This window comes from Homo sapiens, chromosome 8 (genome assembly GCF_000001405.40).
Source record: "Homo sapiens chromosome 8, GRCh38.p14 Primary Assembly".
Classification (NCBI taxonomy): domain Eukaryota; kingdom Metazoa; phylum Chordata; class Mammalia; order Primates; family Hominidae; genus Homo; species Homo sapiens.
Window position 1 is genome coordinate 31,535,357 of NC_000008.11, and position 17,646 is coordinate 31,553,002.

The 17,646-nt window shown below is 37.5% G+C and overlaps 1 long non-coding RNA gene across 1 annotated transcript; it reads left to right on the plus strand.

Moving 5' to 3' along the window:
* Nucleotides 1-317: 317 nt before the first annotated feature.
* LOC105379360 (uncharacterized) lies at nt 318-7,338 on the plus strand. Its single transcript, XR_001745704.1, has 4 exons — nt 318-1,370; nt 4,686-4,800; nt 6,026-6,110; nt 6,840-7,338. It is a non-coding gene; the product is annotated as an uncharacterized LOC105379360 (long non-coding RNA).
* Nucleotides 7,339-17,646: the final 10,308 nt, after the last annotated feature.

The following is a 17,646-nucleotide window of genomic DNA, read 5'->3' on the forward strand; positions in this document are numbered from 1 at the left end:
TGGGTCAGGTTATAGAGATCACTGAGAATGAAGATTTTAGTAGTAAAATGATGTAAATAATCTAAATACAAACCCTTCTACTGCTAAATCAATTAGAGTCTTTTCCCAATCCTTAGAGGGAAAAAAAGTTAATAGATTTGCTGAATTTTAACTATTTCTCTCCTTTATTTTTCATATCTTTTGGATATTTACTTGATTACCAGGGTTCAAGCAAATGATTCTCAATTTGCTTGAATCATTGTTTTAGATTTATTGTTTAGAATAATTGTTTTAGATTGTTTATTTCATGCTGCTTTCTGTGTGACTGCTCTAGGAACGAAGTCATGAGTAGAAGCCAGGGAGGCATGAAAGAAAAAGTCTTGTGGCACCCACACCGAGAAGATGCTAAGCAGAGATGTGAGGAAACAAAGCTGAGAATTGAGGGACAATCCAAGGGAAAGAAGTGGACTGGGAAATCGGTTCTCCTGGCCTGGAAAAGACACGTCACCACAGGAAAAAATCTGGCTCCAGAGAACAATTTATTTTAATATGCCTCATTTTGCTATTTCATTAATTCAGAAATACTTGGCCTTTTTTTCTACTGTTACTGTGGAGGCATAATAGGAAATGTAAACATACTGGTACAAAATAAGAAATAACTTATTTATATGGCAGGAAGACTAGAAAAATCACAGCCATTTTCTTCTTCTTACTATAAGCTCTAATTTTCCATGATACTGCTCTACATACAGGATCTTTATTTAAAAAAACCTGAAGTGATGATATTACATTGCCACATCAACATTTGAAATTAAATGATCAATGGGTGATATAAAAATGGCCAGCACATGGTACATTTTGTAATACTTTAAGTCACATTGTTGAGATCCTTGATAAAGATATGATTTGCTTTTAATCTGGCACCATCATTTATTTTGGGCAAAGCTAGAAAACAAATAACATAATTTGCATAATGAAACCATTGAGAGAAAAATCACTGTAATTTGTCAGAGGTATCTGCACCATTTTGACTTACAGTTTAAATTCATTCAAGTTTATTTCTTTCCTTACCCCAACTAAACAATGCTTTTGATTTATTCTTGCCATTTAGTGTCATATAAAATAAAGTGTTCCACTAGGAGGAGAAATAATTTGTCAAGTAGAAACTATATTAAATGAAACATTCTCTCTGATATGTTTTTAATTTGTTTTATTCCCATTTTGCTATTGCAATTTTCCCACCTGCCAATGGAGATAAGGGGCTGTTTCATTCTTTCTCTTTTGGCTCGCGAAGGCCACACGCTTGTTTTGTTAAGGAGAGTCCACCTATCACCAGGAGGGACAGAAGTCAGCTCAGGAAGGGAGACCCTGCCAGGGGACTCAGCCATGAGGTAAGGCCAGCCATGAGTCCAAAGACAAGTATTCCTGAGCACCTGACCGCTATTTATCAAACATTGTTCTAGGGGATGTGGGGAATTGTAAGAGAAGCTCAAGACAGTGTTCTTGTCTGGGCTGATGAAACCTTATCCTAATTCAGGCTACAGTGAATACTTTATGTGCATTCTGAGTGTTCCTATCCTTTCCTTGTTATATGGCAGGAGTTTTTGATATAGGGTACATGGACCCCAGGAGGCCCTTGGATAGAACACAAGTGGTAAAATTCCATCTTTTAAATAATTAACTACTAACTGAAATTTAGCCATTTCTTCAATTATATATGTTGGCACAAACCACAGTAGTATTAAGAGTGTCTCTGACCTTGTCAGCAGTAGAAAACACTGATATTTTTATATAATATCACAGTTGTTGCAGATATCTTGGAACATCATTTGTGCTTTATCACTATTTTTGAAAATTATAGTAGTTATTAGACCTGCAGCTAGAGTTTGTTACTTAATGCATTCATATAGAAAGACATCATTAAATCACATTTTTCTGGATACTTTTATAATTGTACTTCAATGCAATTGGTGTCTTTTGTAATCCTACGTATTTTCTTTCATACATTCAAACACTCATCGGAGGAGTGGCCCACAGACCTTAACAGTTGGCCAAAGGTGTCAGCAATACAACAAAGGTATCGAATCCTTATCTATGATGATCAGATTAGGTAATTTCTTTATTCACTTATACTTCTAATAGAAAAAGAAGAGAAAAAATGAAAAAAAGTAAAATTAAGGGTTTAATTTCAAATGTTTGGTGGGGTGGAGTTGTTGAAGTGGTTAACAGCATTGAGGCTTCTGAGTTAGTAGAGGCTTAAAATTTTTCCTTTATATATTCATTATTTCTGGTAATTGAGTTATTCAGCATCTGACCTTTACCGTCTTGATAATATTTCTGTCTGTTGTTTCTTGCGAACCTTTTCTCGAATCTGTCAGCTTGTGACCTTGGAAGGTTACTTAACACCCCCTGCCTTACTTTTCATCATTTTCTGGTTGGAGCTAATAATGCTTCGTTTGATGTTGTATTTTTGTGTGTGAGATCTTTTGTTTGTAAGATCTTAAAAGATATTGACAGTATTTAATTGAATAAGAATACATTTGTAGGCATTTGAAACTCTAATGCCTTATATAAATATATCAATGCAATGATTTATTATTACAGCTGTTATGCCATAGCATGTTGGGTTGCTGACAATTTTTTATTTTTTTTTGTGACGAAGTTTTGCTCTTGTTGCCCAGGCTGGAGTGCAGTGGCGTGATCTTGGCTTACTGCAACCTCTGCCTCCTGGGTTCAAGTGATTCTCCTGCCTCAGCCTCCCGAGTAGCTGGAATTATAGGTGCCTGCCACCATGCCCAGCTAATTTTTGTATTAATTTTTATTATTAATTTTATATTTCACCATGTTGGCCAGGCTGGTCTCGAACTCCTGACCTCAGGTGATCCACCCGCCTTGGCCTCCCAAAGTGACGGTATTACAGGCGTGAGCCACCACACCTGGCTGACAAATTTGTATGTATGTATGTGTGTATGTATGTATGTGTTTATTATTTTTGAGATAGGATCTTGCTCTCTCACTCAGGCTGAAGTGCAGTGATGTGATCATGGCCCACTGCAGCCTTGACCTCCTGGGCTCAATCCTTCCTTCTGCTTCAGCCTCCTGAGTAACTTGGAAAATTGGCATGTGCCACTGTGCCTGACTAATTTACTTTTTGTAGAGACAGGGTCTCACTATGTTGCCCAGGTTGGTCTCAAACTCCTAGCCTCAAGCAACCCTCCTGCCTCAGCCTCCCAAAGTCTTGAGATTACAGGTGTGACCCATCACACCCAGGCAACAATTTTTAAAAAGAAACTCTAATCCCTCAACTATATCATTGTTGGGTAAGGAATAAAACATAAATAACGTCAAAAGGGGGCACCTTATGATTATTTCTCATGGGAACATGGTGCTTGGAAATGTTATACCTCTCAATTTTCTAGGATATGATGTGCTGTCATCAATTTTTTCTTAAACATGCCTCTGACATGGTTAATAGCACAGTGCATTTCCTGAGAGTTAGGGTGGATGGTGGAGTGAAGGGTCTTGTTAACATCATTTGGTGTACCCATAGTGATGCTCCCTTGACCATAGTTTCTTCTCAGTAGTTGAAGGAATTGCAATCATTTCCCCTTGCAGAGCTAGGAACATATGCTGGTAGTGTTAAGGAACATTTTGGTCCACGCATCATCTTCATTTTTGCAGACAGCATATTTTTAATATAACCAAGAGTCCAAAATATTTCAACAAGTAATAAATGTAAACTTTTCTAACACCTTTTATTACATACTGTGGCCAAAATACATTGAAGAAGTAGAGTACAAATTTTGAAAAGATGGCTGTAATGTGACACCTCTCCTGTCATTTAAATCAATATTGCAGCTAATATATATTAACTTTAGGTTGATGGTGATTAACCCAGCACCCTCCATGTGCCAAGTGTTCTATCCTGGCTTTTATTAGTTACTGCTTACCAACATCCATTGGTGGTGCTACTGTTCCCATCTTGATTTGTTTTGAGAACCTTGAATATGAGAAACAGACTCTCCAACCTGCTTTCTCTTACAAAATCAGCAGGCTTGGGGAGCAATATTTAAAGAACACAAAAACTTTGATGCAGACAGTAAATATTTCCTTCTCTCCAAGAAATTTCATAGCCAGCATCCTTATTTCTTTGTTAGCATCAACTGTGGCATTAATGTAGCATCCCCAGCCTCACGTCAGTGTTTGGAGCTCAGTTGAACAACAGAGTAGGTGGAATGGGCTGTGATTTATGTGTATCAATAAGCTCATAGGCCCCACCCTTGCTTAGTCAAAATCCTATAATTAGTAACTGATATGGTTTTGCTGTGTCCCCACCCAAATCTCATCTTGAATTGTAGCTTTCTTATTACCTACGTGTTGTGGGAGGGACCTGGTGGGAGGTAATTGAACCATGGTGGTGGGTTTTTCCCATGTTGTTCTCCTTGATAGTGAATAAGTCTCATGAGATCTGATGGTTTTATAAAGGGTAGTTTCCCTGCACACATTCTCTTGCCTGCCACCACCTAAGACGTGCCTTTTTTGCTCCTTCGTTTTCTGCCATGATTGTGAGGCCTCCCCAGCCATGTAGAACTGTGAGTCCATTAAGCCTCTTTTTCTTTATAAATTACTCAGTCTTGGGTATTTCTTCATAACCGTATGAAAATGGACTAAAATAGTAACCATCTCTGGTGACGCCTTTATTACAGACTTTGCAATTATAAGCTATTCCTTAAGCCACAGAAAGAAATGAAGAAAGGAAGAGGGGAAGACAGAAAGAAAACAATTATCACTTGGTTTAGTGACCACGTGTGTTGAGGACAGGTAAATGTTTTTATTGTAAAGCCATCTAAGACCCAGGCATTGGGAATAGGGCATGGTTAATAATAATTAACACTAGGGAGGCAGCTGACAACTTTGGCATTTAGAGGCTCATAGAAAGAAGAAAGCTCAAAATCATGTGTTAGCTTAAAAGAGTTGGGTTTTAGCCTCCCACTGATTCTGCACAATTTAGTGGCAAGATTTGAAAACAACACCAACAACACTGCTATCTTTGACATTCATGGAACAATAAAAAGTAAACACCCAGAAGGTAACAAGCCTGGGAGATATTAACCGAGGGATCCCATGGTTTCTCACTTTTCCATTCTTCCATGAAGTCACTGTTTCACATAGCTTGGAGTCTGTGAACCATGCCAATATATGTGTCTTTTTAACATGGTTCATTTTTTAAGTACATCATTGGTTTGGAGAGATGAGAATGAGAAGATGAGTTAACTTTTATTGTGAGGCACCTGTATGGTTTAGACTTTCACTGCAACTTTGTTACAGGTGAGCGATATGCCCTTCATTTCACAGACTCTGTGGGGTGTCCATCAGCACATGAGTAAAGATCTTCCTTTGGAGGGTAACCACTTTCTGACATTAACTGTGTCTTGATGGAGAACACAGCATATGAGTTATGAGTTTTGGCCTGCGAGTTGTGAAAGATGACTCGGAAAATATAGCCTTGGAGAACTAACTCAGAAAACTCCTCTGGCAGCACTAAGCCATAAACAGACTCAGCTCATTTCTAATTTTGGCTCCTCCTCAGATGTCCAGGATGACACAAGCCAGCCGTCAAGCCCATTTCTAATTGCTCCTGTTGCAATGTGTTGACATCTCTTGTCTTCTTTGTGAAAACGTGTGGGATCATTTAGATGAGAGTAGAGATAGGAAAGGAAAAGGACTAGTTTGAGGCAACCTCTATGATAATGACCAGAAAGGGGAGCAAACTGAATGGAGTGGAGCAGGAAGGTAGTTGAGAAAGGGTATTAGTAGAAGGAAAGAATTTGGTGAAACATGACAATATTTCTGAAGAGCTCTAGTAGTAAACGCTTGATGAATATAGGAAAAAAAGACCATGGTAGAAAATCCCCACAATGCAATAGAGATGGTAAAAAAAGGGAACAGAGCAGAAAATATGAAGTGTTTAAGATTAAGCTAACTAATAGTTCTATGTCAATGCTAATACTCATGTTGTTCTCCCACTATTTGCATATCTTTCTAGGAATAGAAAAAAGAAGGTACATGTCTAAGAAGGATTTAAAAATGTCAAGGAAAGAACAATGAGATGAGAAAGATTAAAGTCAGAGGTGAGCATCAGGACTTAAAAAATTTTTTTTCCTGACAACAAGGTTATTCATAAAATGGAAAATGCCATCTTAAATGCTATGTTACAGAAATAATGATTGTGGGATTTACATATTTAGACCCACAGGCTATTAGAGCTGGAAAGAGCACTAAAAATCATTTAGTCTACTTCTTATTTTAGAGACAGGACAAAAGGCTTGGATTGTTATTCTCAGGGTCACAAAAGCAATTAACAGCCACTCAGGAACTTAAGTATAGGTATTCTGGTTCTTAGTCTAGGACTAAGAACCACAGCAATTTCTTTCCTTTCTCATAAATGTGATGATTAAAAATAAAGGTCATGTAGTTTATTGACTTGCTTGGGGGAAATCAACACATTAGAAGCAAACACATGACTAGAACAAGAGTCTCTTGATTTTTGGTTCAGAGCATAAATTTGCTTGACATGAAACTATCAATGGTTTCATAGATTGAGTTTCCTGAAATGACATAAAGATTAATGAGCAGGAATCTTATTAGGTAATTCTCTTGGAAACAGTACTTATAGAATGGAAGAGGAAGGAGCAGAATTGGGAAGAGGGGAAAAGTGGGCTGTGATGCAGTCTAATCAAAGTCATAGGTAATCCCAGAGGAAAGTCTGAGACTGGATGGCTCTTGGGGATTGTCATGAGTTGGGGCAAAGGGGTCAGTCCTTCATAACCCTGAGATCAGTCTTTATTTGCTGCACCCAGGGAGAAGCCATGACCTTGAGCAAGGATGCGCTTTTCAGCCAGGACACTTAACAAAGAGGGCTGACAGCTGTCAGCACTTCCAGAAGCTGGTAAAATAAGACCTTCATTCTTAAAGGGACATCTTGGCAGAATACCAATGACTATTCTAGTCCACTGCTTATACCACTCAGATACACATCTTCATATACATACTGAAAATCAATCTTCTAGGATCTTAGTAGGTTTCTTTTGCTGGCAGAATGTTGTAAGATTAAGGTTGATAGGATAAACTGGTACCCTTGCAGAAACAGCTAGTTGCAAGATCTCAAATGATATTTATCATCTCTCTTCTTCACTATCCACTTTAGATTTTCCTCATCATCTGCTGGTCTTGGTGGCTTCCCAGTGGCATGGTGGTGACCATCCTGAGCTCCTGGCCACCCTGTCCTCTTCAAGCCATAGCTGCACTTGTCCATTTATCATCAAACGTAGGCAAATAGACCACATGGGTGCCAAACATATTTCTTCGTGCTCCCCATTGTATATAAGAATGCTACTTTCTTTCAGGGTTAATTGCTACCACCAAGATGGTGACTCTTTTTATTTTAAGCTGGTCACTTGCTATGAGGAACCTGAAATGCCCAGGTGTCAGCCAAAGCTTATATTACAACTAGAATTTTCCTATGTTTCCTGGTGGAAGCATTTCCTCTTTGGCTTGAACTTCAAGCCATGCAGCTCCAAGAGTTGCAGGTATGAGAAGCACAAATTTCCCAAGTGGGTCACTGTGAGTGGTGATAAGTGGGACCACTCTTGCTTCCATATATCAGTTCCTGGATCCATGTATTCAAGCACCTGGGATACAATACCATATAAAGATCATTGATTTAGGGTGTACAGTGTATTTGGGAGGTTAGAGCCCCACATTGACAATGTCATCTTCAAGCTGGCACTTCAGCTGTGCCTTCAACGGGCCATTCCGTTGCTCCCTCAGACCAGCAAATTTTGGTTTGTGTGGTATGTGGATACAAATCAGTGATCCAGTGGTCAGCCACCAGATACCCACTCTTCAACCTCCTTTCTTCAATGTGAATCTCTTGATCTGATGCTGTATCATGTAGGATCCCACACTGGTGAACCAAACCTCTGTAAGTCTTCAAGTAGTAGTGATGGCTGAAGTGCTATGGGCAGAAAAGCCAAACCCATACCTAGAACATGTGTCTATTCCTATAAAAATGAATTACTGCCTCTTCCAGGATGAAAAGTCCAATCACCAAGGGACTGTTTGGTCTCCTGTAGAGATGGTGCCATTCCAGAGAATTTGTATTGGTCTCCGTCTCTAGCAGATTGCATATTTGATTGGACCAGTCACTTATCAGCCTCAGTAAGTGGAGGGCTATCCTGCTGATCCTATGCAAAACTTCTAACCCTGAAAATATAGCCATTTTATTTATATGAGTGTTGTGCTAGCACTAGGGAGGCTAATGAGAAAGACTTGCTGATGTGAACTGGCCAGCTCATATTGTCTAGCTTGTTATTTCGTGCCTCTTCCATGGTAGGTGCTTTCTGGTAGATGTTAACATTTGATACAAAAATCTTTATATTTCACTCCCATTCCTATAGGTCCATGCAAATCCCTCTACCTCAGACCGTATTTTTCTGTCCTTTCAATTTTATTTTTTCTTACCCCTTAACCTCCCAGTCAAGCCATTTGCCATTGCTCATGAACCCATGCACATTCTAACTACAGGACACTTCCTTTTCTATGTAAAGAGCTCACCACATGCACTGCCACTTGTCACTGTTGTTAAGGGCCACCTCAATGTCAGGCTGTGATATAGCTTTCATCCATTTCCTGCTTGCACACACATACCAAGCCAACCCATCTCTAAACCAATTTTTTTTTTGTTTTTGAAATTGATACATAATAATTATATGTGTTTATGGGGCACATGTGATATTTTCATACATGCATGCAATGTGTAATGACCAAATCAGGATATCCATCACCTTAAACATTTATCATTTTTTTGTATTGGAAACATTCCAAATTTTCTCTTCTAACTATTCTCAAATATACAATAAATTATAGTTAAGTATAGTTATCCTACTGTGCTATCGAACACTAGAACCTGTCCTTCTAAATGTATTTTTTGTACCCATTCATCAACCACTTTTCACGTCCTCTTTCCCAATTTTTTCCAGCTTCTGGCCTATCATTATGCTCTCTAGCTTCATGAGATCAGCATTTTTAACTCCCACATATGTGTGAGAACATTTGATATTTGCCTTTCTGTGCCTGGGTTATTTTATTTAACATAATGTCCTCCAGGTCAGTCCATGTTTCTGCAAATGACAGAATTTTATTCTTTTTATGGCTGAACAATACTCCATTGTATATATTCCATTTTTTTACTGAGCATATTATTATAAATCTTCTTTATTTTAAATTTAGCACATTGTGCTTTAAAATTATATCCAAGTAAAACCATATATTCAACTCTTTGTTGTTTCTATACAGAAGTGTAAATACAACATTACTTTTTGTCACTAAGTTGCCTTAATAAGTTTTACAGGAAGAAAAACATTGAATGAGAAAAGATGGCTTAAATTATATGTGGCAGGCCTGTGAAACCATGCAATGGATACGGTATGTGTGTGTGTCTATATATATACATATATATATATTGATATTATTGATCTTGAGCATCTTTTCATATACCTGTTGCACATTTGTCTGTCTCCACATCCTCATCACCATCTGTTATTTTTTGTCTTTTTGCTAATAGTCATTTTAACTGTAGTGAAATATCTAATTGTGTTTTGATTTGCATTTCCCTGGTGACTATTGAACTTGAGCATCTTTTCATATACCTGTTGGGCATTTGTATGTCTTCTATTGAGAATGTTTATTCAGATCCTTTGCCCACTTTTTAGTCAAATTATTACTATTTGTTGTTGAGTTGTTTGAGTTCCTTGTATATTCTATCAAGCTGTTGCATCAAGCTATGCAGAAGCTTTTCAGCTTGATGTAATCCCATTTGTCTATTTTTGCTTTTGTTGCCTGTGCTTTTGAGGCTTTACTCAAAAAAACCCTTGCCAAAACCAATGTCCTGAAGCATGAAATTTGGATTTTTATCCTCTTCTGTTTGTTGGCTAGAAGGGATTCCCCTCTATTTTGGTAGGCATAAGATGATGGTCAAGAGCTATAACATCAATAGTGGATGACTTCAGGACCTAAGCTACCTGCTCATGTTGTCTGTTTCTGTTAATGCTTAATCCTGAATGTGCTACTTTTATCTCAGGATGTTAAGGTCCTGGACCCACCCTGAGGTCTGATATTACCCAGCTCAAAATGAGCAGTTCAGGCTTCATGGTTACTTGGTGTCCATAATCAGACACTGCACTTCTACCAGGACCCAGTAGCAAACCAGGACCTGTTTTTCAAAAGATGTATCTGCTGTAGATGGCACAGCTTTACTCTACAACCCTAGGCATCTGCATTTTGATTCTCCCATTGGGCTTTCAACAAACACCACATGGCACCTTTTCCTACCATAGATTAATGCTATGTCATACTGGTAGTTTATATCACTCAAGGGAAGGGTCACTGGCACCACAGTCTGAATTTCTATAGATTCTTTTAATGCTTTGGTCATTACTTAAAGTTAGCAGTCTTTCATGCTACCTGACATATGATTTGGTGCTGTATTCCTGCAATGGAATATGCTGCCTCCAGAACATGGGAACGCCTACTAGGCAAGGTGCTTCCTTATTTGTGATAGAAAGTGCAAATTGCAATAATTTGTATTTTCTTTGGAAGGGATATCCCAAAATACTCAAAACCATAGGACTTCTAAAAATATTACTAATATATCAGGCCCTGAATCTCTATAGAGTTTATCTCTTATCCTCTAGTGTGTATATGTTTTACCTAGGCCTACAATGTACTTGTCACTTCTTTTTTCTAGTTGGTTCAATTGCCATGACATCCTAGATATAGTGGACTAATGAAGTTTTCTGTGATATCCTAGTCATCAAGATCTCTTAGACTATATAGCAACTGAACAGAAGAGTTAACATAGCCCTTGGACAAGGTTGCAAATGTATACTATTGTCCATTTCAAGTGAATGAGAGTTCTTTCTGATTGCTTTTGGTGTGGTTAGAAAATAATGTATTTGAAGGATGAATGGTCACATACCAGGTGCCTGAGGTTATTGTCATATATACTAGCAAAGATGCCATATTTGAGCTAGTATTGCTTGGTTGAGTTTGTGGTATCCATTGTTATTCTCCAGGATACATCTTTTTTTTTTTTTTTTTGGTGGGTGGGGGTGCGGGGGGTGAGTGGTTGAACTAATTGAATTAATTGGAGATACAATGGGGCTCACCCTCCTCCATCCATTAGGTCTTTCATTGAAGCCATTAAATTTCTGCCAAATTCCAGGAAGACCTGGAATATGACAGTTTATTAGAGAGTACCCTGGAAAAAATAGCCATGAAAGTGAAAAAAAGGAAGCAAGCTTGGACAGAAGAAAAAACTGGACTGAAATACAATCTCAGTGAGTACCATAACTGATCTCTAGAGAGCTCTTGGTGTGCATTGGCCCTACAGAGCTGTCCTGAGCTAGGTGAGGAGACTGGCCTTGATAGTCTTGTATTGACCATTTCCCAGATGCGTGGTCAAGGCAGTTCTCTTCAACCAAGGCACTTCCAAAAGAGGTTGATAGCTGAGGACTCTGCTGGAAGCAGTTCCAGCAGCTGGGAGAAAAGGTCTTTCATTCTTAAAGATGAATCTGGACAGTGTGTCCACTACCAAATGAAATATGGGATCTCTTATATAATGTGATAGGAACCTCAAAATTGGAATCATATATTTTATTTTTTTTCAAAGTAGAGGCTTTCAGGAGCTTTTAGTATATTTGAAATGAAGGATAACAAAATAGTAGGTGGGGAAGAGAAAAAGAAATGGCCTGCCATACTCTAATTATAGAAGAGTACCTCTAACTATTAGCATATTGAACAGACACCGAACTCAGAGGAGAATGGTATTTGTAGACTGATAAATGAGTCTGGAATAAACTACTTCCCAGAAATTGCCTAAATGTAGCTCAGGCTAGCGTAAACTAGTCACCCCAGGCTGGCTTCCTTGTTTCACTGAAAAACAAGTGGCACTTCATATTATGGAACTAATTGCAATTGGAGTGTATTCCAATATATTCTTGAGAGCCCCAGGTATACCTGTGAATTGGAATTCATCCATAATCAGTAATTATGCTCTTCTATTTAAATATTTGATCTTGGGCAAGATTTTATGCAATTAAAGGTATGAGTTTGGTGTATATTGTTATACTTAATGTCTTATTTTATTTAAAATATGAAAAAATGAATTTAATCAGAAATTTCAAAAATGATTCCTTATCTGAGAGGCCTTCTATGATGTCATTTAAATAGCAAATTCCTTATTATTCTCTATCTCCTTACTCTTTTGTCTTTGCTTTTGTCACTAATATATAATATACAGTATATTTTTAATGGAATGACTATATCTCCCATCTCTGTTTGGAGTGTGTTTCATGACAGCACAGAATTTATCTACTTTGTTTATTGCAATGTTGCTAACCTCTAGAACATAGTAAGTGCTCAAAAGATGGTGCCTAAAAGGATGGACCAAGTGTTACACAAGTCATATTCTATTTGGTTAATACACTTCTCCACTTCTGAGAAACATATTATTGTTAAAGTTAAGGTAGATTAATTATGTTAAGAATAAATGGTCTGGGCATGGTGGCTCATGCCCTGTAATCCCAGCACTTTGGGAGGCCGAGGTGGGTGGATCACTTGAAATCAGGAGTTTGAGACCAGCCTGGCCAACATGGCAAAACCCCGTCTCTACTAAAAATACAAAAATTAGCTGGGCGTGGCGGTACACACCTGTAGTCCCAGCTACTTGGGAGGCTGAGGCGCGAGAAGCACTCAAACCTGGGAAGTGGAGGTTGCAGTGAGCAGATGTTGCGCCACTGCACTCTAGCTTGGGTAATAGAGCGATACTCCATCAAAAAAAAAAAAAATTAATGGATGCTTTTGGCAAATTCAGGACTGAAAATTGCTGTGACTTTTCCTCCATGAGAGTTTCTGCAGTTTGGGTCATAAGAGTTAAATATGGTTAATACTTCATTAAGTACTGTTTAACTTTAGCAACCTAAGACATTACATGTCATCAATTGTTCTGACTTTGTGGCACCTGATAGCTACTATGCTACTGTGGCATTGATGATGTTGGCGGTGATGATAGCGATGATGATTATGATGATGATAATGGTAATGGTGGTGGTGGTGGTAATAGCAGGTTAATATTCACTGAGTGGTTTTTCACTAATTGTCATGCTGAATTTTGAATTCACTGACTTATGTAATGCTCACTAAGACATTATAAATACAGTTTACCATTTTAATGATAAGAAAACTGAGACATAGAGAATGTAATATCCAACCTGGCTGGTTGTGGAACCAGCATTTGAAGTGGGGTGAGACTTATACCAAAGACTGCAGATCTTAACTATTCTGATATTCTGAGCAGTGGCAAGCAGAGAGAAGGGAGAGGGAAGTGATAAAATTTGAGGAAAATAAATCCCACACTCCCTTTCAAAATTGTGAGTGGAGAATAGGAGGGAATGTTTGAGAGCAGTCCAGAAACATCATTTAAAAGCAGGTAACTATAAGGCAGAAAGAAAAATGGCAACATCAGAGCATAATACGAAGATTCATGGGAAATGGGAGCAGAGGAGAAGGAGACCCAGCCTTCTGGGGAAGACAGTGTAGGATTAGAGAGGAGGCTGTATTTCAGCTGAGACTGAGGAGGGGAGGTAAGACCTACCAGAAAGAAGTACCACCAATGTAAACATATCATCAGAAGTATGTTGTGTAATGTATCTAAGCAATGTAGTAAAAAAGCGTAGTGGTTAAACTTTACTCTCCTAGGATATTGCGGTATATTTTATATTTGCTATATATAGTACATAGTAGTATACAGAATATGTGTATATGTATATGTTACTACGTAATATACATATACTACTTTCCAAATAGTATACTGCAGTACACTGCCAAAAGTAATACAACTGATGGGCCTAAAACAAAACACATTTCTTTCAAGGGATTTGTCAATCAAAAATAGTGAAACAATAGTAATGCTTCATTCCTCTCAACAACCCACAATCCTCATTTCTGTATATCCTTTACTTACACAGATTCACCAACTGTTTACATTTTCCACATTTGTTTTATCATACATGTATATATATAATTATTATTATAGCTAAATCACTAAAATGCTTGAGAGTAAGTTTCAGACTTAAAGACTTTACCACAAAATATCTCACTGTGCATTTTCTAAGAACAAGGACATTCTTTTATCTAGCCACCATATAACTATTAAACTTGTACAATTTAGCATTGATAAAAATTATCTTTGAACATACAATCCATATTCAGATTTTACCAATTATCCCAATAACATTCTTTATAACAATTTCTCCTAGTCCAGGATCAAAGCCAGTATCACACATTGCATTGAATTCATATCACTTTAATCTTCTTTAATTTAGAAGATTTCCTCAGCCATTTTTGCTTTTATACATTAACATTTTGAAGTGTATAGGCCAGTTGTTTTGTAAAATGAAACTCAATTTGGATTTGCCTATTTCCTCATGTAAATTCAGGTAGGTAGTTTTGCTTAGGAACTATGTATGTGATTTATGTCCTCTGTGACATCAATGGTGTCACAGATATTGGTGATGTTAATTTTGATCACTAGATTAAGGTGTTATCTGTCAGGATTCTCCATTGTAAACATGCCATTTTCCCTTTAAAACCAAATAAACTGTGGGGTGCTACCACTGAAAGTATGTAAGTACCCCAAGAAATCTTCACTCAATGATTTCAGCACCCATTAATGATTCTTGTCTGAATCCATTATGACTATATGATTAAAAATTTTTGAATTTTTCATTCAATCCTTTCATATATTTTAGTTAGCATTTCTCTCATTGTTTTGTGAGCAATTTCTTACTTTTTGGCACAGTAAAATATTCCAGGTTCCACTTGTAATTTCTCTCTCCATCCGTGGAATCAGTTGTTTCCTTAAATAGCCCTGCTTCTTTTATTGGATAATGGTATCTTGAAACCAAGACTTGGGTGTTGGGGTGTGGCTTTTTGCTACTAGGGTGTTATTGCACATATAATGTTCCCTCCTCAGCCATGGGGCCTACATTCCAAGGTCTTCAGTAGATGCCTGAAACCACAGATAGTACTGAACCTGATGTAATAAGTTGGAACATGTTCCTGTTTATGTTTTTTTCTCCAACAAACTTAATGCCTTTTCCATCTTAATTATGCATTTATCATGCATGGTGCCCATTACTTTTGCAGTCTGAGGTGTGACAGCAAAACTGGCATGAATTTTTTTCCTTTTTCACAATTTCATAGGTAGAAGATTCATATTTTACTGTAAATCTTGAAAACCTCAGCATAAGATTTTTCCTTTCCTTATTAAGTTGAGAACTTACACATTTTCACTTAAAGGAAGCACTTAATGGCTTCTCTTTCGCAGATCCAAATTATCAGCATCACTACTATTGCATTTTGGGGCTATTATTAAGTGAAATAAGAGTAACTTGAATAGAAGCATAGTGATAACGCAACAGCAGATCTGATAACTGAGATGGCTCATAAGTGACTCATGGGCAGAGAGTATACTGGGCAAAAGGAGGATTCATGACCTGAGTGGGATGGAGCAGGATGGTGTGAGATTTCATCATGCTACTTAGAGTGACATGCAGTTTAAAACTTATGAGTTGCGTATTTCTGGAATTTTGCACATATTATTCTTGTACTGCCATTGACTGTTGGTAACTGAAGCCACAAAAAGTGAAACTCCAGATAAGAGGAGAATTCTGTATATAGATGATATGATTTGGCCCTGTGTCCCCACCTAAATCTCACCTTGAATTGTAATAATCCACATGTGTCATGGGAGGGACTGGGTGGAAGGTAATTGAATCATGGGGGTGGGTTTTTCCCGTGCTGTTCTCTTGATAGTGAATAAGTCACATGAGATCAGATGGTTTTGTAACGGGGACTTCCCCTGAAATGCCCTCTTGCCTGCCGCCAAGTAAGATATCCTTTTGCTCTTCCTTCATCTTCCGCCATGATTGTGAGGCCTCCCCAGCCATGTGGAACTGTGAGTCCATTAAACCTCTTTTCTTTATAAATTACCCAGTCTCAGGTATGTCTTTATTAGCAGCATGGGAACAGACTAATACAATGCATTTGACTACTGCTTAATGGGACATTTGTTATTGAACAACAAACAAGTGGACCTTTTAGGTACATCATTTTGGGAGTAGCCATCAGTTATTCAAAGCTAAAATCTAGTTGAAATCATGGTTTTAAGAATCCTTATTGTAACTATGACAATAAAAGACTGCATCATCTTTTAAAATCTTCTTGAGATTAACAATCAAGTCTCATGATCGATTGGTTGGTAACACAGATTCTATAACCATGGATTTTTGAGCTTGTGTTCTTTATCCTTTTGATTTGATAAGAATGCTGAAACTCTGGGAAGGCATCAAAGTTAACATTGCCATAACACTAGAAATATGTGAAGAAATATAGAAGTAACGAAGAAAATAAGTCAAATGTGTTGTTAATCTTCTAGAACAAGCTTAAGTCTGGCTATAGTAATATATTTTCAAAACATTGTATTTCTGTATGTTTTGTCTACTAATGAAGGTGTTGGAGGCATTCAAAGGAATCATTAAATTCATTCTAAATCAGTAAGTCTATTCTAAAGTGTTTAAAGAGATTTAATTAATTAAGTTTATAATAAGTGTTAAAATATCAAAGAAAAATGTATTGGAAGTTTTACTGGCAAAAATTTAATAAATAGAGAATTCAAAAATACAGCAAAGAATGAGTGTTTTCCATGCACAAAAGCTCCCTGATATTAAAAAGCTGAGGGGTGGATGGATGGGCTTTGAGGTAGGATCTGGGCAGAGCATCACTGTATCCACTACAATTGTCATTTTATTTTACCTTCCCCTTGTAAGGTCAAATAAAATGTTAGAATATATAGATTCATAGACTATCAACTCTGAGAGGGACCTTAAATATCACATACTTTATTATGGAACACTTAGCACAGATAAAAAAATTCAAACACTCACTAAGAGTCACTTCATCAAGGTACCAAAACATAGGTTAAGCTACTTCACTATGTTTTAGATGCTCACACTGTATCTTTCTTCACGACTTCATAATAAAGATTAAGCGTTGTGTTTTGGATAGTCCACGTTGTGCTGTAAGTGTGCTACTAAATTCCATACCAGATACTGCCTCTGAGAAGCTTCAGAAGAAGCAATGAATTATAAAGAATGCTAATGCGTAGTAACCAGGGGTTACAGGTGGGAACATCACAATCACTACCTAGGACAGCTGAAATTCCTAGAAGCAGGGAATTGAACCAGGGACCAAACAAGGTCCCTATCAGCTCTTTAGCTCTGGACTGAATTGAGAAAGTATTATTATTTTTAACTGGTTCCCATTTGGCCTTATTAAGAGTTTAATTGTGCTTTTACTCTAACCTTTTATCCTCTTGACATTTCTTTCCTTAATTTTATAGGTTTTTTTGTCTCCCTTCATTATAATTTTCTTCTTATATTATACTATATTTCCATCTGGAAAAAGAAGTCTGTGTCTGCCACTTTGTTAGAAGGACCAGCAGAAAAATATTCTTAAGAATAGAAATTGCCTTTATTAGCTGAGTTG